The sequence below is a fragment of the Homo sapiens genome, chromosome 14, assembly GCF_000001405.40.
Source record: "Homo sapiens chromosome 14, GRCh38.p14 Primary Assembly".
Taxonomy (NCBI): Eukaryota; Metazoa; Chordata; class Mammalia; order Primates; family Hominidae; genus Homo; species Homo sapiens.
Genome location: NC_000014.9, coordinates 55,082,739 through 55,103,935, shown reverse-complemented (window position 1 = coordinate 55,103,935; position 21,197 = coordinate 55,082,739). Strand labels below are relative to the sequence as shown.

The 21,197-nt window shown below is 43.7% G+C and overlaps 1 long non-coding RNA gene across 2 annotated transcripts, besides 3 other annotated features; it reads left to right on the top strand.

Moving 5' to 3' along the window:
- Positions 261-939: a transcriptional cis regulatory region, noted in NCBI's record as "candidate enhancer chr14.836 targeted for multiplex CRISPR interference". NCBI's record gives its function as "positively regulates LGALS3 gene expression with high confidence in K562 cells {active_cell/tissue: K562}" and the evidence as "EXISTENCE:mutant phenotype evidence [ECO:0000015][PMID:30612741]".
- Positions 491-785: an enhancer, noted in NCBI's record as "tiled region #8345; HepG2 Activating DNase unmatched - State 1:Tss, and K562 Activating non-DNase unmatched - State 5:Enh". NCBI's record gives its function as "activates a minimal TATA promoter and a strong SV40 promoter by Sharpr-MPRA in HepG2 and K562 cells {active_cell/tissue: HepG2 | K562}" and the evidence as "EXISTENCE:reporter gene assay evidence [ECO:0000049][PMID:27701403]".
- LOC124903318 (uncharacterized) lies at positions 607-19,204 on the top strand. Of its 2 annotated transcripts, none has more exons than XR_007064178.1 (3): positions 607-795; positions 9,314-9,433; positions 16,929-19,204. It is a non-coding gene; the product is annotated as an uncharacterized LOC124903318 (long non-coding RNA). The 2 variants fall into 2 exon arrangements; XR_007064177.1 differs by having other exon boundaries at positions 607-806.
- Positions 5,133-5,232: an enhancer, noted in NCBI's record as "active region_8425". NCBI's record gives its function as "activates an Ori minimal core promoter by ATAC-STARR-seq in GM12878 lymphoblastoid cells {active_cell/tissue: GM12878}" and the evidence as "EXISTENCE:reporter gene assay evidence [ECO:0000049][PMID:35858748]".
- Positions 19,205-21,197: the final 1,993 nt, after the last annotated feature.

Here is a 21,197-nt window from a genome sequence, read left to right as displayed (position 1 = left end):
CCTCAAAGAAATGGTTTTGAACTGCAAGGAAAACAAGCCAGGCTACCAAGGCTTGTCTGTGAGTCTTCAGGTGCCAGGAAGCCTGCCTCTCAGGTGCTGCTGATCTCTAATAACCTGGATTTTCGTCTTCCAGTTTCAGAGATCTAAACCACTCATGCCCTGAAAATATCTCAATTCCAAAGCATTTCTCTTTGCCTGGGTAAACTGGGGTATAAACAGCTACCTTCTGCTTTGATAAATTCTGTTCAGCTAGGAATTCGAAGACACCAGAAACATGGAAAAGACTTGCTGAGAAGTCACTGCCCCATAACTTTTTCCTGATCTTAAGGGTCAGCCCAGGGCTAAGCTGACCCTGTATAGCACTGACTGGCCTTATGTGCTGGCACTGGGGCTGCATTCACCTTTATATTTCACGCTCACAGAGTAGGGAATGCTTCTGTGAACTGGCCTTGAAAAAGCTTTACAGAATCCACAGTCTAGATGTTCTCTGCCTGTCCTGTTTGCCTGTTATGTTTCAAGAATGTGACCCGACAGCCTCCACACCCAGATGACTCAGCCCTAGCTTTAACGAGTGTTTTTGAGGCCTTTCTGGGGCAGGGCCTCTTCAGTCATGTCGGCCAGGTGCTCCCCAGGCTAGCACTGCCCCGCCCCTGCGTGATCCGGGATGGGAGTTTGGAAACTGCTCCCCATAGGCGGCCGGAGAGGAACGTGAATCTTTGTCTGTTTCACTCCTCAGCAGCTCACTCTTGGCCCCAGGAGGAAAACGAGAAGGTTAACCAGGCATAACCCGGAGGTGTAAGTCAGAGGTTAGGAAAAACGTTATGTGGTGGGATTGGTTTTAGAGCTGGCCACCTGGCTTCCTGTTGCTTTGAGAAAAAGACAGGTTGATATCAACTAGGGGTTGTGTGAAGAAGCCTGTCTTTTAGCTAATTGGCCTTTGATGTGTGGGACATTCAAGTTGCTCAAAAAACGAAGCCAAAAAATCAAAAATGGCTAAGCTCCTGGGGGTAAAATGGAAGAAATAAATAATACTTAGCAACTCAGAGATTCTCAGAGACTGGCTAAAAAAGAGATGGAGGAGAAAAAAAGATTCCTGTGCTCTAGAGCCATGACAAAACTGGATAAACAGCCTCAGAAGAGATATTAATGAGTTATCTTTAAATGTGTGCTCCTTTTTGAAAAGGAATTGCTTAGGGAAGGTGTATGTCTTAATTACTACTCTTACTAAATGGGAAAACTTTAGCCGATTCTTGCTCTTTGGTAAAGATGATTAGGTGTTAAAAATTCAGGCCTCCTTGCAAAAATGCAAATACACTCCATTTATTAGTGAGCTGTAACAAAAGCAGACTTAAACAATAATTTTTATGAAAAGAGATGAAATGCAAATGCAATTCACACATTCACCAATGATTCTTCGGTTTGCTGCACGTTGTCTGTGAATCATCTAACACGAAACAGCTGTAAGGCCTCTCTGCTCTAAGGACATAATGAGTTCTGCCAGGAACTGCAACCCAGCTTGTGGTCTAGTTGTTGACAGAATTTGCATAATACGTGCTCTTGCCAACCAGGCCTACCCTACAGGGTCGCTATTCATGCCCTCCTGCAGGCCCTGGGTGGACGTATTTGGGGCTGGCTCTGGCCCCAGCAGGAAGCACAGGCCTCCCGGTTGCTCTTGCCAAAGTGTTGCCTGATTCCTGGCCACACTCATAGGTTTGTTTGCTTTGTTGGAGGAGGGCCTTTTAATCTGATATAATTTCAATGTTGCAGAAAAATTACAAGAACAATGGAAGGAATTCCTACAATCCTTTATCCAGAGTCACTGATGGTTTCCATTTTTGTCTTAACATTCTCTATCCATAAATATGTATGTGTGATATATATATGTATATATAGCAACATTTAAGAGTAAATTGTTGGTTGAGCACAGTGGCTCATGGCTGTAATTGCAGCACTTTGGGAGGCCAAGGCAGGAGGATTGCTTGAGGTCATGAGTTTGAGACCAGCCTGGGCAACATAGGGAGACCCCTGTCTCCACCCAAAATAAAAAAGTTAGCTGGACGTGGTGGCATGTGCCTGCGGTCCCAGCTATTCAGGAGGCTGAGGTGGGAGGATCACTTAGGCCCAGGAGGTTGAGGTTGCGTTGCAGAGTGAGCCATGATCGTGCCACTATACTCCAGCCTGGGCAACAGAGCGAGACCTGTCTCAAAAAAAATAAAAAGTAACTTGAAAACTTCAGTGTGCTTTTTTTTTTTCTTTTTTTTTGAGATGGAGTCTCACTCTGTTGCCCAGGCTGGAGTGCAGTGGCACAATCTCGGCTCACTGCAACCTCTGCTTCCTGGGTTCGGGTGATTCTCCTGCCTCAGCCTCCCGAGTAGCTGGGATTACAGGCAGGTGCCACCACACCCGGCTAATTTTTTGTATTTTTAGTAGAGATGGGGTTTCACCGTGTTAGCCAGGGTGGTCTCGATCACCTGACCTCGTGACCCACCCTCCTCAGCCTCCCAAAGTGCTGGGACAAAAAAGACAAAAATGCAAACCATCAGTGACTCTGGATAAAGGATTATAGGAATTCCTTCTATTGTTTTGTAGAGACCCTGTCTCTAAAAAAAAAAATGGGGGGTGCTGGGACAGGGTCTCACTCTGTCCCACAGGCTGGAGTGTAATAACACAATCCTAGCTTACTGTAACCTCAAACTCCTGGGCTCAAGTGATCCTCCTGCCTCTGCCTCCCAAGTAGCTGGAACTACAGGCACTTGCCACCGTGCCTGGTAAAGTTTTACATATTTTTTCCAGAAATGGGGTCTCATTATATTGCCCAAGCTGGTCTCAAACTCCTGGCCTTAGACAATCCTCCCACTTTGGCCTTCAGTGTGCATTTTCCAAGAACAAAGACACTCTCTTATATTCCCTTACATTTTCTTACATGGTACAGTTAACACAATCAGGAAATTAAGTATTAATACAGTACTACTATCTATCTCATCCATTGCCCTAACAAGGCTTTTACTTGTTTTTCCTGTGTCCAAGATCACACAACAGCATTTTGTTGCCAGGTCTGTTTATTTTCCTTCTCCAAGCATCTTACTGGAAGGCACATGATATTGGATATTGGATATTGGTTTATGCCAATATAGTGACGTAAAGTTTGATGACTTGATTAAAGTGGTGTCTGCTACTGTGGAGTTATTATTTTTCCTTTGTAACAAATAAGTAATTTGTGGCAGCATACTTTGCAACTGTATAATTATCCTATTTCTTATCAAACATGTACTCACCAGTTTTAGCATTCATTGATGATTTTCTCCCTTCGTCATTCCTTCTATATTTATTAGTTGGCATTCTACTGTAATGACGAGATTTCCGCCAGGCATAGCGGCTCACACCTGTAATTCTAGCACCTTGAGAGGCCAAGGCAAGAGGATCACTTGAGTTCAAGAGGTTGAGACCAGCCTGGGCAACATAGTGAGACCCTGTCTCTACAAATAATTTAAAACAAAAATTAGCCAAGCATGATGGTACATGCCTGTAGTCCCAGCTATTCGGGAGGCTAAGGTGGGAGGAACACTTGAGCCCAGGAGACCAATGCTGCAGTGAGCTATGATTGTGCCACTACACTCCAACCTGGGCAACAGAATGAGACCTTGTCTCAAAAAAAAAAAAAAAAAAGAAAATTTAAAAAGAGAGATTTCCCCTCCCATTTAAAAAAATGCATTTATTTATTTATATCTATATGGATTCTTATTTTATTCAACGGGATAAGGCCCATTACAAATATTATTTATTTTGATACTTAAATTGTTTCAGATTCGGCCAGTTAGGAGTCTCTCCAAACTGGCTTCTGAGTCCTTACAACATCCCATTTTTCTTGGAGCACTTCCTTACATTTTGGCACAAGATGTTTCAGGCTAATCCTCTCCAGCTTTTCCTGCTCCAGCTTTGGAATAAACCATTTCTCAAGGATCCCTGGTTCCTTTAGTGAAGCATGATATTTAGAAACCAAGACCTGGGTGCTTACATGCTCATTCCTATTGGTGTGTCGTTGCTTGTAGGCCCTGTCAGCAGACAGGATTAGGCAATAGATTATACACACACATATATACACACAGAAATAGCTATAGAGACATAGATGTATATTAGAAAATATGAATTCCTACTGATTAACTCCAGTTCCAATGTAATAAACTTTCCATATTTGTAACTTCTTTCCCCAACAGTGAAAAATCTGGTTCCCCTTAGACTTAAGCTCAAGAATACACAGAATGTAGTTTCAGAATTGCTAGTCCATAGCACTGCTAAAAGTAAACCTAACCAGAGTTCAATTTGCTAACCTTTTTTTTTTTTTTTTTTTTTTGAGACAAAGTCTCGCTCTTGTCGCCCAGGCTGGAGTGCAATGGTGTGATCTTGGCTCACCACAACCTCTGCCTCCTGGGTTCAAGCAATTCTCCTGCCTCAGCTTCCCGAGTAGCTGGGACTACAGGTGCCTGCCACCACGCCCTGCTAATTTTTTGTATTTTTAGTAGAGATGGGGTTTCACCATGTTGGCTAGGCTGGTCTCAAACTCCTGACCTCAGGTGATCCGCCTGCCTTGGCCTACCAAAGCTCTGGGACTACAGGCATGAGCCATCGTGCCTGGCCTGCTCACATTTTTAAAGGTAAAATTTATATATATAGAAATGCACAAGTCCTAAGTATACAATTCAACAATTTTTTATAAATAGATACACCCTTGTGACTTATAGTTTTTTTTTTTGTTTTTTTGTTTTGTTTTGTTTTGTTTTTTTTTGACACAAGGTCTCATTCTGTGCCCAGGCTGGGGTGTAGTGGTTGACCATGGCTCACTGCAGCCACCACCTTCCAAGTTCAAGTGATCCTCTCACCTCAGCCTCCAGAGTAGCGAGGACTACAGGAGCACACCACCATACCTGGCTAATTTTTGTAATTTTTGTAATTTTTGTAAAGGTGGGGTTTCACCATGTTGCCCAGACTGGTTTCAAACTCCTAGGCTTAAGCAATATACCTGCCTTGGCCTCTCAAAGTGCTGGGACTACAGACATGAGCCATCACACCTGGCCCATACTTCTTTCCTTTCTTCTGCTTCTGCTGCTTCTTCCACTTCTTCTTCTGCTTCTTCTTCTGTTTCTTTTTCTGCTTCTTCTGCTGCTGCTTCCTTCTTTCTTTCTTTCTTTTTTTTTTTTGGTAGAGATGGGTTCATGCTATGTTGCCCAGGCTGGTCTCGAACTTCTAGACTCAAGCAATCCTTCCTGCCTCAGCTTCCCAAAGTGCTGGGGTTACAGGCACTAGTCACCATGCCCTGCCTAAATCTTGCTTCTTTTTTTCCAATTTCTTGATGGTTACAGTCCTGTCTTCCAGTGACAGCCCGAGACAGGAGCTTGTGAGGTTTCCTCACGAGGGTTCCTTGTGAGCATGACTGAGATAGACAGGAACCATGTGTCTTGTGGGTGATTAGTAAATGTGAAACTACTCAGCCAACCCAGAAGATGTGGCACATGGCCAGAGTTGGGAGGACAAAGAGAGAAGGTAGGTGGGCTCCTACACACACTGAAACGCTTATTAATGACTCTCAGTAGTGCAAAGGCAAGACTTCTGGTGCAGGGTAGAAACTATGGTTCCTTAGAACCAGGAAGTTACACCCAGGTTAATATTTCGATAACAGTGGGGTTGTAATAGCTTATTTTCCAGGCTCCCTAATGAAAAGGGTCAGTGTGATTCAATCATGAGAGCTTCTGAAAAGGCTCTTTGACATGAAGGCATTTAGCTCTGCTCTTCATGTTGGCCCTTGACTATGTTAACAGTTTAATAAGCAGTTGCTTGTTCTGTCTGTGGCTTTGGTGTGCTTGAATTCCTCCCAACAAGGCTAAAAGCTCCTTGAGGGAGGTGACAGTATCATGCATTTTTCTGTTTTCCTACCTTGTCAGGTGACCAGGAAATGTCTAGTAGATACTTCTGAATTGAATCGAGTCTTCTTAGTCACCTTGACAAGTTCTTGTTTCTATTGTATCTGACTTCCTAGTGAGTAGGCACTCACACTGGCTGAATACATCATAAACCAATTCCACTAAATTGTTGCTAATCAAATTGTTAGTCCTTTCAGGAATCTGTGTTTTAGCAGATGACAATAATGAATGAGCGATGCTTATTAATCCAAATAGAATTGACCCAATAGTGGAATTACAGGCAATAGGGAGCTGGGGGGAGAAGGACTTTGATGAGCAGGGGGCTCCTTGCTGCCTCACCAGTAGTGCCACATCACCTGTGTCACTCTTCCCTGAGGTCACAGAATGTTGGGCCATAAAGGGATCATTATCTTTTTCTGATGGACCTCTTTTGCTCTCCTGACTCTTCTCTTTCCTATTCAATTTTAGTTTGTTTCCTTTGGTCCAACAGCAAATTGGCTGTAGCACCTTCTTCTAAAGAGCCCTGTAGACACCAGCATCTCTTGCCAGGATCTCCTAGTGCAAACCCTCTAAGCTTTCTGCTTTTATCCCCTCTAGCAAGACTGTGCAGATACTAGCGGGCAGGCAACCAGGGCCTCTGTAGGGCTGGGATCCCCTCCACAACAGGCCAGATTCATTCCGGAATTTGGTTCCAACTCTGTAGATCCTAGATTTCCTCAGCTGCTCAGTGGTGCGGGTTCTGCCTCTGCCTGCCTTCCTCTGCTGCCCTGACCCTGGTCGAGCCCTCACTGACTTTTACCTAGATTATTTTAACACCTACTTCCTAATGAGTCTACCTGCCGCTGGCTGTGGTAAGATGTATAACTATTCGGGCCGTGATCCCAAATTTACGATTAGCCTCCTACTGGGGCCACCACTGGCCCCACTACTCCTTGAGAGGTATGTGCAGGTGACAAGTCTAGGGAAAGAGACCATTTAATACCCCACTTAGAACTCCACCCAAACAATCTAGACTGGGCCACAGCTGAACTTGTGGGGGAGGTTCTTATTTGGATCCAAGGCTAATGGTTGTCTCGCAATCTTGGCTTCAATTAGAATCATCTGGGGAACTTTAAAAACTACCAACATTTCATGATGAAATTTTGCTGTGTTAAAACAAATTTTTAAAAAACAAATAGGGCTGGGTGCGGTGGCTCACGCCTGTAATCCCAGCACTTTAGGAGGCCGAGGCAGGCAGATTACTTGAGGTCAGGAGTTCGAGACCAGCTGGCCAACATGGTGAAACCCCACCTCTACTAAAAATACAAAATAAATTAGCCTGGCATGGTGGTGGGCACCTGTAATCCCGGCTACTCTGGAGGCTGAGGCATGAGAATTGCTTGAACCTGGGAGGCGGAGGTTGCAATGTGCTGAGATCATGCCATTGCACTCCAGCCTGGGCAACAGAGTGAGACTCCATCTCAAAAACATAAAATAAAAAATAAATAAATAAATAATAAATACGAATGACCAGCCCCTACTCCCTGAGTTTTGGCTTAATTAGATTATTAGACTGGGATGAAGTCTAAGCATGCTTATTCTTTTTTTTTTTTGGAGACAGAATCTCGTTCTGTCGCCCAAGCTGGAGTGCAGTGGCTCAATCTCGGCTTGCTGCAACCTCTGCCTCCTGGTTTCAAGCAATTCTCCTGCCTCTGCCTCCTGAGTAGCTGGGACTACAGGCACAAGCCACCATGCCCAGCTAATTTTTGTATTTTTAGTAGAGACAGGATTTCACTGTGTTGGCCAGGCTGATTTCAAACTCCTGACTTGGTGATCCACCCACCTCAGCCTCCCGAAGTGCTGGGATTACAGGTGTGAGCCACCGCGCCCAGCCTATTCTTTCCTTTGAAATGAACTTTCATAAAAGCACAAAAGCACTTAAGTCCAAAAAAGAAAGGTTACCAGTTCATTATCAGTATATTTTACATATTATTACAAATTTCCATTACAGTTTTAATTGCTGCAAAATGTCCAATGTAGTAAGCACCTGCCATTTGTTGAAGGTTTAATTTGTTTCCAATTTTTAGCAATTATAAAAGGAATCATAATGAGAGCAACTGTCACATATATTTTCTTTAAAAAATATTTCCTTAGGAAAAATTCCCAGAAGTTTTATTGCTGAACAAAATGGTATGAAAATATTTTTGGCTGGGCAAGGGGGCTCATGCCTATAATCCCAGCACTTTGGGAGGTTGAGGTGGAAGGATCGCTTGAGGCCAGGAGTTCAAGACCAGCCTGGCCCAACATGGTGAAACCCCATCCCTACAAAAAAAAAAAAAAAATTAGCAGGGCATCATGGCACGTGACTGCAGTCCTGGCTACTCAGGAGGCTGAGTTAGGAGGGTCGCTTGACCCTGGGAGGTCGAGGCTGCAGTGAGCCGTGATCATGACACTGTACTTCAGCCCAAGTGACAGAGCTAGACCCTATCTCAAAAATAAAAATTAAAAAACATTTTAGACTTTGGTATTGTCAAATTGCTTTTCAAAGGGTTCTTAACCAATTTACACTCATTCCAGAATAAAAGAAACGTTCGATTTATCCAGCATTGGATATTTGCTAAAATAACAAAACATTTATTCTATACTTCAGTGTATATGTCTATACACTAAGCAGCATAAATGACATCTCGGTTAACAATGAACTACATATATGATGGTTGCCCCATAAGATTATAATGGAGCTGAAAAATTCCTATTGACTAGTGTCGTCATAGTTATTGTAATGTAGTAGCATGACGCATTACCTTTTCTATGTTTAGATGTGTTTAGATACACAAATACCATTGTGTTAGGATAGCCTACAGTGTTCAGTACAGTAACATGCCGTATAGGTTTATAGCTTAGGAGCAAGAATAGGCTTTATAGTGTATCCTAGCTGTGTAGTAGGCTATATCATCTAAGTTTGTGTAAATAAACTCTGTGATGTTCATCTAATGACAAAATCACCTAACAATGCATTTCTCAAAACACATCCCTGTCTCTTATAAGTGATGCATGACTAAGCGTGAGGCTTACGTATTCTTTAAAAGCTCCCCAGGCAATTCTAAGGAGGAGTCTGGGTAGAAAACAAGTGGTCTCCACTGGAAGTCAGCCAAATTATTGTAGCCTGTTTTCCTCAGCTCCTGGAGATCTTTTGCTCTGATAGCAAAAGGCACAGGAAGAGAACCTCAAGGAAGGCTGGGCAAGGTGACATATGCCTGTAATCCCAACATTTCGGGAGGCTGAGGAAGGAGGATCACTTGCATCGGGAGTTTGAGGTCTCACTATGTTGCCTAGTGACATCATAGCTATTGTAATATAGTGGCACAACACGTTACCACGTACCACCTCACCTGGCTAATTTTTTTTTTTTTTTGTAGAGACAGGGTCTCACTGCATGCCTGTAGTGCCAGCTACTCAGGAGACTGAGGTGGGAGGATCTCTTGAGCCCAGGAGGTCGAGGTGGCAGTGGCCCATGATTGCATCACTGTACTCAGTCTGTGAGTATCTCAAAACAAACAAACAAACAAACAAACAAGGAAATGGGCACTAAGGGAAAGAAGAGGTTTCTTCTTAAGGCCTGGGGCCAAGCCAAGCCATCCTCTCTGAGTTTCCTAGGGAGGGGTTCTTCTCTAGCTGCCTGGGTTTGGAAAGAGACCCAGGAAAGGGAAAACAAAATAAGAAAAGGACATGCGGTGCATAGTCAGGAGCTTAGATCCTCTCCCCCAGCTTGCAGTCTGCTTTCCAGCCCTTGGCCCTGACTCCCAGAAGCCTCTGGCTGTGCTAACATCCCCATCAAATGTGCCTCCATGCCTCCTCCATACTCCATCCCCATAGTTTTTATGGGGAAGCACTATTGGTGCATCCTAAATAACATAGAAATAAATAGGGCAAAATGGGAAAGTTCCCCTCACCGACCCCCACTTCCGCTCCCTTGCTCAGAAATAACCTGATAATAGTTTAGTGTGTATCCTTCAAGACCTTTCTCCCCCTCCTCCTCCCCCTCGTCCTCCCCCTCCTCCTCCTCCTTCTTCCTAGATGTTTTTCTATCAGCTTATCAAGTCTAACATGTGAAATAGTGTGTGCCTGTGTGTACATACAAATTGTTTTAATCCATACATGGGATCATGCTATATGTAGTTTTCTCCAACTTGCTTTTATCATTAACAACATAGCATAAACTTCTTTCCATGGTGGTTAATATAGAGCTGCCTCATTTCTTTTCATGGCTGTGTGATAATCCATGGTATATGATTATATATAATTTTTTTTTTTGAGACAGAATCTCACTCTGTTGCCCAAGCTGGAGGTCAGTGTTGTGATCTCAGCTCACTGCAACCTCCACCTCACGGGTTCAAGTGATTCTCCTCCTGCCTCAGCCTCCGGAGTAGTTGGGACTACAGGCGCATGCCACCATGCCCAGCTAATTTTTGTATTTTAGTAGAGACGGGGTTTCACCATGTTGGCCAGGTTGGTCTCGAACTCCTGACCTCAAGTGATCCACCTGCCTCAGCCTCCTAAGGTGCTGGGATTACAGGCGTGAGCCACCGCACCCAGCTGATTATATATAATTTAACACTTCCTGTTGCTGGATGTTTTCGTCGTTTCTCTTTTTCTCTTTGATGACAATGCTATAATGAACACCTTTGTATATGTCTTTGTGCCATCTACCTGGCTTTGAGTATTGCCACTGCAGAAAATTCCTGATGTTGGGCCCCAATTAAGCAAGCAGACTCCAAGCTATCTCTGCTGCCCCCAGGACTCCTTTAGACTCTGGCAGAACAGCAGCCTGCCTCAGTTCCCACACTATGATCCTGCACGTGTGGTTGAAGACACACCTGTGGCACAGCCTGCCAGAGTTCTGAAAACTGCCCCCTGCCCCATCATGGAGAGGTGCAAAAATTACAGACACATATCCTGTGTCCCTCTGTCCGCTGGGAGGAAGAGCGTCAACTCCTCCGAAAGCAATCTAGCTGGAGAAAGTGTGCAAGTGGATTTCTAGCAATGTTTTTCAGGATTTTTACTCTTTTGTTCGTGGGATGGGAGAGAATCAGTGAGATAGAGGATACAAGGAGCTCAAGTGGCAGTAGCAGTCCAAGCCAGCAGTGTGTATGTGTGTGTATGTGTGTATGTTTTGTGTATATATGCATGTGTGTGTATTATGTGGGTATGTGTGCATGCGTGTGTGTGTGTGTGTGTGAATGTCTACATATATGTGCGTGTGTGCGTGTGTGTATATGTGTGTACGTGTGTACGTGTGTGGGTGTATGTGTGCACATGTGTGTATATGTGTGTGTATGTGTGTTTTTTTTATGTGTATGTGTGGTGTGTAGCCATGAACAGAGACAGCCAATCCCTGAAGGAATATGTTGTACTTTTGTCCTTTAATATTTTCAAGCCTGCTGGTCCTGCAAAAAGCAGTAAGAGCTAATGAGAAGCAGGTGTACTTAGGGAAACAGGAAATCTGGTTCCATTTATGACTTCACCGCGGCCTGCCATGGAGTTTTGAGCAGCTTTAGTTTGCTGCTCCGTTTCTCATCTCTGTCTTCTCTGGAGGTGCCATCTGCACCATTAGGATGCAGGAGTTGGCTTTCTTGCTTTTCCTGAAAACAGTACTAGTGCCATTGGCTGTTAAAAGTGGGATATGGGCCAGGTGCGATGGCTCACACCTGTAATCCCAACACTTTGGGCGGCCGACATGGAAGGACTGCTTGAGCCCAGGAGTTCAAGACCAGCCTGGGCAACATAGTGCGACCTTGTGTCTACAAAAAAGTTTACAACTTAGCCAGGTGTGGTGGCATGCACCCGTAGTCCCAGCTATTCAAGAGCACAGGAGGTCGAGACTGTAGTGAGTTCTGAGCTTTGCCATTTGTGTGAGATGTTTGCTGCATCTGGCCTGCCCACTTAGAAACTGTCTTCTTCCTTACTTTCTGGACACACAGAAAGAGCATATGTTTGTAGTATTAAAGGCAGAGGATGAACTTCCTGTGTGGCAGCTCTCCTGAAATGTATTCTTGCACTCAAAATGCAATGGCAGATGTTGAGCTGCTCTCACAACCCTTCAGAAAGTCTTCGGGGAATGCTGGTGTGCTCTCTGTCAGAGCATAAGAGTAAATAAGCCTGCTGCACCTTTAAGCAGGGATGAGCTAAGTTTTGGTAGTATTAAAGTCGGCTCATGTAAAAGTAATTTGTGTAAACAAATCAGGATTTAAAACAACTTTTTATTGAAGTGTAACATATATGCATCAAAGAGCACACCTCGTCAGTGTACAGCTTCGTGAATTTTTACAAACTGAACTCATTACATAAGCCAAGAAGTAGAACACTAGCGGCACCCTAGCCAACACCCTCATTCCCCTCCCAGTTACTAGTCCTGTGGGTTATAAACACTCACCTACATTCTAAACATTTTTTTTTTTTTTTGAGATGAAGTCTTGCTCTGTCGCCCAGGCTGGAGTGCAGTGGCATGATCTCGGCTCACTGCAACCTCTGCCTCCTGGGTTCAAGCGATTCTCCTGCCTCAGCCTCCCGAGTAGCTAGGACTATTGGCACATGCCACCATGTCCGGCTAATTTTTGTATTGTTAGTAGAGATGGGGTTTTGCCATGTTGGCCAGGCTGGTCTTGAACTCCTGACCTCAGGTGATCCACCCACCTCGGCCTCCCAAAGTGTAAATTCTAAAACTTTATATTAATTTTGCCTGCTTTTGAACTTTATATATAATGTATTTGTAGAATTTATTCACATTGCACATAGATCTTGTTATTCTCATTACTATATGGCATTCCATTATATAAATATACCATGTATTTATCCATTCTATGTGGATGGAATTTGAGGTTTTCTTCAGTTTGGGCTATTACAAATTATGAACTATCTTGTACCTGTCTTTTGGTGCTCGTGTGCATGCATTTCTGTTGGCCAGATTCCTAAAAGTAGAACTTCTGTGTCACAGTGTAGGCATACAGTCAGTTGGTGGACACCGGAAATCGCAGTGTATGAGAGTTAGGAACATGTTTTTGATAGGAGAAAGAACACAAGGCTAAAATCAGGCCCCAGGCTTCTGGTCCCCTCCCAGGGTTGGCTTACAGGGAAGCCAAAGCAAACCACCTACCCTCTGTGTCTCCTCAACTGTAAATTGGAAATAATTAGTACCTGCTCTGTTCCTTGTGGGATGGGACAACCTTCCACAAAGACTCGCACTGCACAAATGTAGGCTGTCATTAAAACAGAAGCAGAGGAGGAGGGAGATTTTAATGATTAATGAGAACTAAAGAATAACTATACTTATGTGAATTCCCTCCTCCAATTAAGAATCCACAGATTAGATGAACTGCTCTGGTAGGCAGCGTTGTTTTGCCAGAGGGGCCTGCAGTATTATTCTCTCAAATCACAACACAAAGTGCAACCTTCTAAACCTGTCCTCTCTATTTTGTCACAAGATTCCTCAGCTATCTGGAGGTCTAGGGTTCCTCCCAGTTTCTTCTCTCAATCTCTAAATACCCCAACTTCCTCCTTCCCCCAGCATCAGCCTGTGTTTGCCTGATGTGGAAAAACTGGGCTCTGCCTTGTTGGACCAGATATAGCACACTAGGAAAGCCAAAGGATAAAATCATTCCATGTCTTCTTATTATTATGTTTAACTTTTTTTAAAAGATGGGGTCTCACTATGTTGCTCAGGCTGGTCTCGAACTCCTGGGCTCAAGCAATCCTCCCATCTTGGCCTCTCAAAGTGCATGGATTACAGGTGTGAGCCACTGTGCCCTGCCCTTCTTGCATTATTGAACATAAATGTTAAGTATTGCCAATGAGGTGCTTTGGTCTCACAGTGATACTAAAATTTCACAGGCGTTTATTCTATCAAAGGTTGTACTAAGCTAAATCAGAGGCTGTAAAAAATAATAATTAGGCCGAGGCAGGCGGATCAACTGCGGTCGGGAGTTTGAGACCAGCCTAGCTAACATGGAGAAACCTCGTCCGAGCTAAAATACAAAATTAGCTGGGCATGGTGGTGCATGCCTGTAATTCCAGCTACTCGGGAGGCTGAAGCAGGATAATTGCTTGAACCTGGGAGGCAGAGGTTGCAGTGAGCCAAGATTGCATCATTGCACTCCAGCCTGGGCGACAAGAGTGAAATTCCATCTCAAAAAAAAAAAAAAAAAAAAAGGTAATTAATTGAAAGTAGCATCCAAATCTCCATCCATCCTATTGGTTTCCATGTACATAGTCATACGAGTAGGAGGCAGTGCCCTCTTCTGGCCAATGCTACACTTGCATGGCTGTGGCTAAAGGATTGCCAACCCATGAGGACTGGTTTTTCACTTGCGGCAGGCTCATCTTGGGGTTATTATCAGTCTTGAGTGAATCACATTTGAGGATTCATCCTCCCCTTTCTCTTCCAAGAAGAAAAATGAAATCCGTGATGGCTAATTTTATGCGTCAACATGGCCAGGCTAGGGTGCCCAGTCATTTGGTCAAACACTAGTCTAGATGTTGCTGGGAATATACTGTTTTTTTGTTTGTTTGCTTTTTGTTTTTTTGAGACGGAGTCTCACTCTGTCGCCAGGCTGGGGTGCAGTGGCATGATCTCAGCTCATTGCAACTTCCACCTCCTGGATTCAAGCAATTCTCCTGCCTCAGCCTCCCGAGTAGCTGGGTCTACAGGCGTGTGCCATCATATCCGGCTAAATTTTTTTTTTTTTTTTTTTTTTTTTGTATTTTTAGTAGAGACGGGGTTTCACCATGTTGGCCAGGATGGTCTCGATCTCTTGACCTCGTGATCTGCCCACCTTGGCCTCCCAAAGTGCTGGGATTACAGGTGTTAGCCACCAAGTCCAGCCCATTTGTTTTTTGTTGTTGTTGTTGTTGTTTGTTTGTTTGTTTTGAGATGGAGTCTCGCTCTGTCGCCAGGCTGGAGTGCAATGGCGTGATCTCGGCTCATTGCAACCTCTGCCTTCCAGGTTCAAGAGATTCTCGTGCCTCAACCTCCTCAGTAGCTGGGACTACAGGCGCACGCCACCATGCCTAGCTAATTTTTGTATTTTTAGTAGAGACGGGGTTTCACCCCATTGGCCAGGATGGTCTGGATCTCTTGACCTCGTGATATACCTGCCTTGGCCTCCCAAAGTGCTGGGATTACAGGCATGAGCCACAGCGCCTGGCTGAAGATATTGTTTTAGATGTGATGAATATTTAAATCAGTAGACTCTGAGTAAAGCAAATTACCCTTCATAATGTGGGTTGGCTTCATCCACTAAGTTGAAGGCCTTAAGAACAAAGACTGAGGTTTCCTGGAAAAAAATCCATTCTGCCTCAAGACTGAAATATAGAAGCCCTACCTGAGTTTCCAGAGGGCAGATTTTGAATTTAAGATGGCAACACTAACTCTTCCCTGAATTTCTGGCAAGCTGGCCTGCTCTGCAGATTCCAGACTTACCAGTTTGCACAACTGGGTTAGTCAATTCCTTAAAATAAATCTGAGTGTGTGTGTGTATCCCTATGTGTTCAGTTTCTCTGGAGAACCCTAACTGATACAAAACCCAACTCCAAAACCTATTTTGTGTCAGTGACATCATATTTAAATAACTATCAAGGGACCTGATGTATAGCAGTTGACCTTCTGGGTTCCAGTTTAAGTCCCAGCCCCACCCCACTTACTAGTTTCATGAACTTTTACTTAATCATGTTTAATCTTGGTTTCTTCATTTGTGTAAGGGAGAAAATGGTAGTATTTGGCCAGGTGCAGTGGCTCACACCTGTAATCCCAACACTTTGGGAGGCTGAGGCAGGCGGATCGCTTGAGCTCAGGAATTCGAGACCTGCCTGGGCAACATGGCGAAACCCCGTCTCTACAAAAAATACAAAAATTAGCCGGGCATGGTGGCACATGCCTGTAGTCCCAGCTACTCAGGAGACTGAGACAGGAGAACCACTTGAGCCCAGGAGGTGGAGGCTGCAGTGAGCCGTTTTTGTGCTACAGCACTCCAGCCTGGGCGACAAAGTGAGACCCTGTCTCAAAAAAAGAAAAAAAAGAAAATAGTAGTATTTGCTGAATAGGCTGTTGTAAAGATTAAACAAGAAAACATATGCACTTAGAATAGTATCTCACTCAGAGTAGGTAGTCAATAAAAGTTAGTAGTTACTAAAATTATTGTGGGAAGCTGTCACAGAAGGGTAATTTACAAAGTGAGGAAAGCTAGCTAGTTTAGTTCACTTTCCTCCCCCACATTTCTCTCCCAAAACTCTCAGGTACAGAGACAGGCAGCCTCTGTTTTTCACTACAACCTATTCCTGGGGTATATTATAAATGTATATCACACATTTCTTCTAAAGTGTCCTATCTCTTCCCATAGGAATCAATCAAATTTAAAAGTTGGGTTCCAAGACTGTACTTTTAGGGATCATTTCTATAGTTTTTTTTTTTTTTTTACTAGAGAAGTTTCTCTGAAGGTGTAGAGCGAAAAAAAAAAGGGTTCCAAATTCCAAATTGAGGACAAAATCATCAACGAAAGCATTATTATGCCACAAAGGCAACTTCAGTACATCTTGGCAGTCATTTAAAACAATAAAGTTATTTTTTAAGTCTTTTTTTTTTTTTTTTTGAGACGGAGTCACTCTGTCACCCAGGCTGGAGTGCAGTGGTGTGATCTCGGTTCACAGCAAGCTCTGCCTCTTGGTAAGAGGTGAAGCCAGCTGAGCTTCTGGGTCGGGTGGGGACATGGAGAACGTTTGTGTCTAACTAAAGGATTGTAAATGCACCAATCGGCGCTCTGTGTCTAGCTAAAGGATTGTAAATGCACCAATCAGCACTCTAAAATGGACCAATCAGCACTCTGTAAAATGGACCAATCAGCAGGATGTGGGCATGGCCAAATAAGGGAATAAAAGCTGGCCACCCAAGCCGGCAGTGGCAACCCTCTCGGCTTCCCTTCCACGCTGTGGAAGCTTTGTTCTTTTCGTTCTTCACAATAAATTTTGTTGCTGCTCACCCTTTAGGTCTGCACTACCATTGTGAGCTGTTAACACTCACTGTGAAGGTCTGCAAAGGTCTGCGGCTTCACTCCTGAAGTCAGCAAGACCACAAACCCACCAGAAAGAAGAAATTCCAGACACATCTGAACATCTGAAGGAACAAACTCCGGACACACCATCTTTAAGAACTGTAACACTCACCACGAGGGTCTGTGGCTTCATTCTTGAAGTCAGCGAGACCGAGAACCCATGGGAAGGAACCAATTCTGGACGCACTGGGTTCACGCCATTCTCCTGCCTCAGCCTCCAAAGTAGCTGGGACTACAGGTGCCCGCCCACCATGCCCGGGTAATTTTTTGTATTTTTAGTACAGACGGGGTTTCACCGTGTTAGCCAGGATGGTCTCGATCTCCTGACCTCGTGATCCACCCGCCTTGGCTTCCCAAAGTGCTGGGATTACAGGTGTGAGCCACCGCGCCTGGCCTTTTTTTAAGTCTTAATATGGGATTTCCATAAAACTTAATCCGTACTCCACAATGCAACTTTTTATAATCAATAAAATTGGCAGGTTTGTTTGCTTCCTAACAATTTAGAAGGACTTTCAGAAAATTTGGCTGGTCAAAACCTATTTTTACATCTAGCCAAATGGTTATCTCTAGATGAAGGGATTTGGGTTCATTTATATTTTCTTTTTCTTTTTCTTTTTTTTTTTTGAGATGGAGTCTTGCTCTGTCACCCAGTCTGGAGTGCAGTGGCGCGATCTCGGCTCACTGCAGGCTCTGCCTCCTGGGTTCACGCCATTCTCCTGTCTCAGCCTCCCCAGCAGCTGGGACAACAGGCGCACGCCGCCACGCCCGGCTAATTTTGTTGTTGTTGTTGTTGTTGTATTTTTAGTAGAGACGGGGTTTCACCGTGTTAGCCAGGATGGTCTCAACCTCCTGACCTCGTGATCTGCCCGCCTCCACCTCCCAAAGTGCTGGGATTACAGGCGTGAGCCACCATGCCTGGCCATTTATATTTTCTTTTTTCTTTGCGTTTAATTCAGCAATGCACCAGAAGGACTGACGAGACTCACTGGTTGGCCAGGCGTGGTGACTCATATCTGAAATCCCAGTACTTCAGGAAGCCAAGGAGGGTGGATTCTTTGAGCCCAGAAATTCGAGACCAGGCTGGGCAACATGGCAAAACCCTGTCTCTACAAAAAATTAGGTGTGGTGCCACACACCTGTGGTCCCAGCTACTCGGGAGGCTGAGGTAATAGGCTCACTAGAACCTGGGAGGTTAAGGCTGCAGTGAGCCAAGATCCTGCCACTGTACTCCAGCCTGAGTGGCAGAGCAAGACCCTATCTCAAAAATAAATTTTAAAAAAGAACCAATGGCAGGTTATATACTTACTACTAAGATTTATTATAGCAAAGTATACATAGCAAAAGCAGCAGGAAAAAGACATGCATCAGCAGGGTCCAGAGAGGTTCAACACAGGTTTCCAATGTCTTTCGTTGTCTGAGGCCACACAGGAGTACTCGCTGTCTCGAGCAGTTAACTACAGGGACATGTGTGGAATGTCTTTGCCCATGAAAGCCTGTCTGAATCTCAGAGTCCAAGGCTTTTATGAGGAGCTGGTAATGTAAGTATATCCTGCTATGCAATTAGCCATGGCAAGCAAAACTCAGGACCCTAACAATGAAACCTCAATCTTGGTGTTTATGGAAAGCAACCTGACAAACCAGTATGGCATGGTTCGTTGCTCCAGTTGTATATAACAAAATCACCAATCAATAACACAAAGAACTCTCTAAGGACTATATTCCCAGTGATTGGCCAAGGGCTAATCATGGTTCCCTTGGAGACCTGCAAGGTTATGCAACCTGACCTACTGTGTTAACTCTTTCCTCAGTCTGTATTTTCTAAAATGTCTATAATTAACATATATTACTTTTATAATCAGAAAAGTAACTATTAACATAAAGGCATCCAAACATAATGATTTTCTTTTTAGTTATTTAATGATGCTGCTTTGTAAGCTCAGTACATTTTCTTGTAGTCAGCAGAGCTGCTAAGAGTATAGTCACCCTACTAGACATTTCATAGATGCCCATCAGAGCCTTTATATGCTTTGGGAAAAACCATAAAAACAGGCATGAAAGAGCATATGAAACCTAGGAGGAACCACAGCAACATCTAGTTCCACTTCCCCATCTTAGAGATGAGGAAATGGGAATTCTGAACAGTGAAAGGACTCTCCCCAGGTTCTAAACCTTAGGGTTTTCAATTAAAAACCTGTCTTGGAATTGCTGAAATGTTTGCTCAGTTGCTTCTGAATGTCTTTACCATGGAAAAAGCTGGAGCCCTGAATGATGAGCTCACCTGGACCAAGCACACATAGTTTGTCCTCCTTCAGTCTGGATAGTGACTTCCCTTCCTCCCACTGCCCCAGTGGCCTGACAGGATCCCATGTCAAGAGCATTGCCAATGCTATTGGGTCAATGTTCCAGCTTGGAACCTAACAAGAGGATAGGTTCATCTTCACTAAATTTTCCTTTTCTTTCACCTTCATTTACTCTCTTGTAAGTTGCAGGGAGGTGCAAATTCCTTTTAGGTCTCCCAGAACCAGGTCTTAACAGTGGTTATGACTTCAGGTAGTAAAGTCAAATGGTCCAGGATTTGAATTCTGTTTTTGCATCTACTTGTATGATTTGGCTTATGTGATTTGAGTGAGTTACTTGGGGAAGTTAATAAAAATAGTAGTACCTTCCTCCTAAGGTTACTGGGAAGAGAAAAGGAATGTCTTTCATGTAATAACTCTCAACTAGCATAGGGCTTGGCATATAGTAAATGTTCAAAAATATTAGCTGTTATTTTTTAAATAGATGCTCCGTTTATTTTGGAAAATTCTATTCTCTGATTTTTAAGACCATTTTATTGAAGTAATTGACATGCAGTATAAACTGAACACGTTTAAAGTATAGAATATCATGTTTTGACATGTATACACCCATGAAACTATCACCATAATCAAGTTAATGAACATATCCATAACCCCTAAAAGCTTTCTTTTTTTTTTGAGATGGGGTCTCGCTCTGTCACCCAGGTTGGAGTGCAGTGGTACGATCTTGATGCACTGCAACCTCCACCTGCTGGATTCAAGTGATTCTCCTGCCTCAGCCTCCCAAGTAGCTGGGATTACAGGTGCCTGCCACCATGCCCGGCTAATTTTTTTTTTTTTTTTTTTTGAGACGGAGTCTCGCTCTGTTGCCCAGGCTGGAGTGCAGTGGCCTGATCTTGGCTCACTGCAAGCTCTGCCTCCCAGGTTCATGCCATTCTCCTGCCTCAGCCTCCCGAGTAGCTGGGACTACAGGCACCTGCCACCATGCCTGGCTAATTTTTTGTATTTTCAGTAGAGACAGGGTTTCACTGTGTTAGCCGGGATGGTCTCAATCTCCTGACCTCGTGATCTGCCCGCCTCGGTCTCCCAAAATGCTGGGATAACAGGCGTGAGCCACTGTACCCGGCCCTAATTTTGTATTTTTAGTAGAGATGGCATTTCGCTATGTTGGTTAGGCTGGTCTTGAACTCCTGACCTCAGGCGATCCACCCACCTCGACCTCCCAAAGTGCTGGGATTACAGATGTGAGCCACCGTGCCTGGCCAAAGTTTTCTTATACCTGTTTATAATCCCCTTCTTTGTCCTCAGGTAACACTATCTACTACCTGTCTCTACAGATTAGCTTGCATTTCCTAGAATCTTACTTATATAATTGAAATAATATAGTATATACCCTTCTTTTGGCTTTCTTTATTCAGCTATGTTGTGAGATTCATTCATGTTGTTTAGAGTATCAGTTACTAAGTAGTATTCCATTTTTGGCTATATCAAAATTTGTTTGCCCATTTACCTATTAATGGACATTTTGCACTGTTTCCAGTTTGGAGATATTAGATATAAAACTTCTATAAACATTTATATATAAGTCTTTGTATGGATATACACAAATGATCTCTGACTTAACATTGATTCGACTTACGATTTTTCAACTTTACAATGTTGTGAAAGCAATATGCATTCAGTAGAAACTGTCCTTCAAGTACCCATACATTCATTCTGGTTTTTACTTTCAGTACAGTATTCAATAATTTACATGAGATATTCAACATTTTATTATGAAATAGGCTTTGTATTAGATGATTTTGCCCAATTGTAGGCTAATGTAAGTGTTCTAAGCACATTTAAGGTAGGCAAGACTAAGCTATGGTGTTTGGTAGGTTAGGTGTATTAAATGCATTTTCAACTTA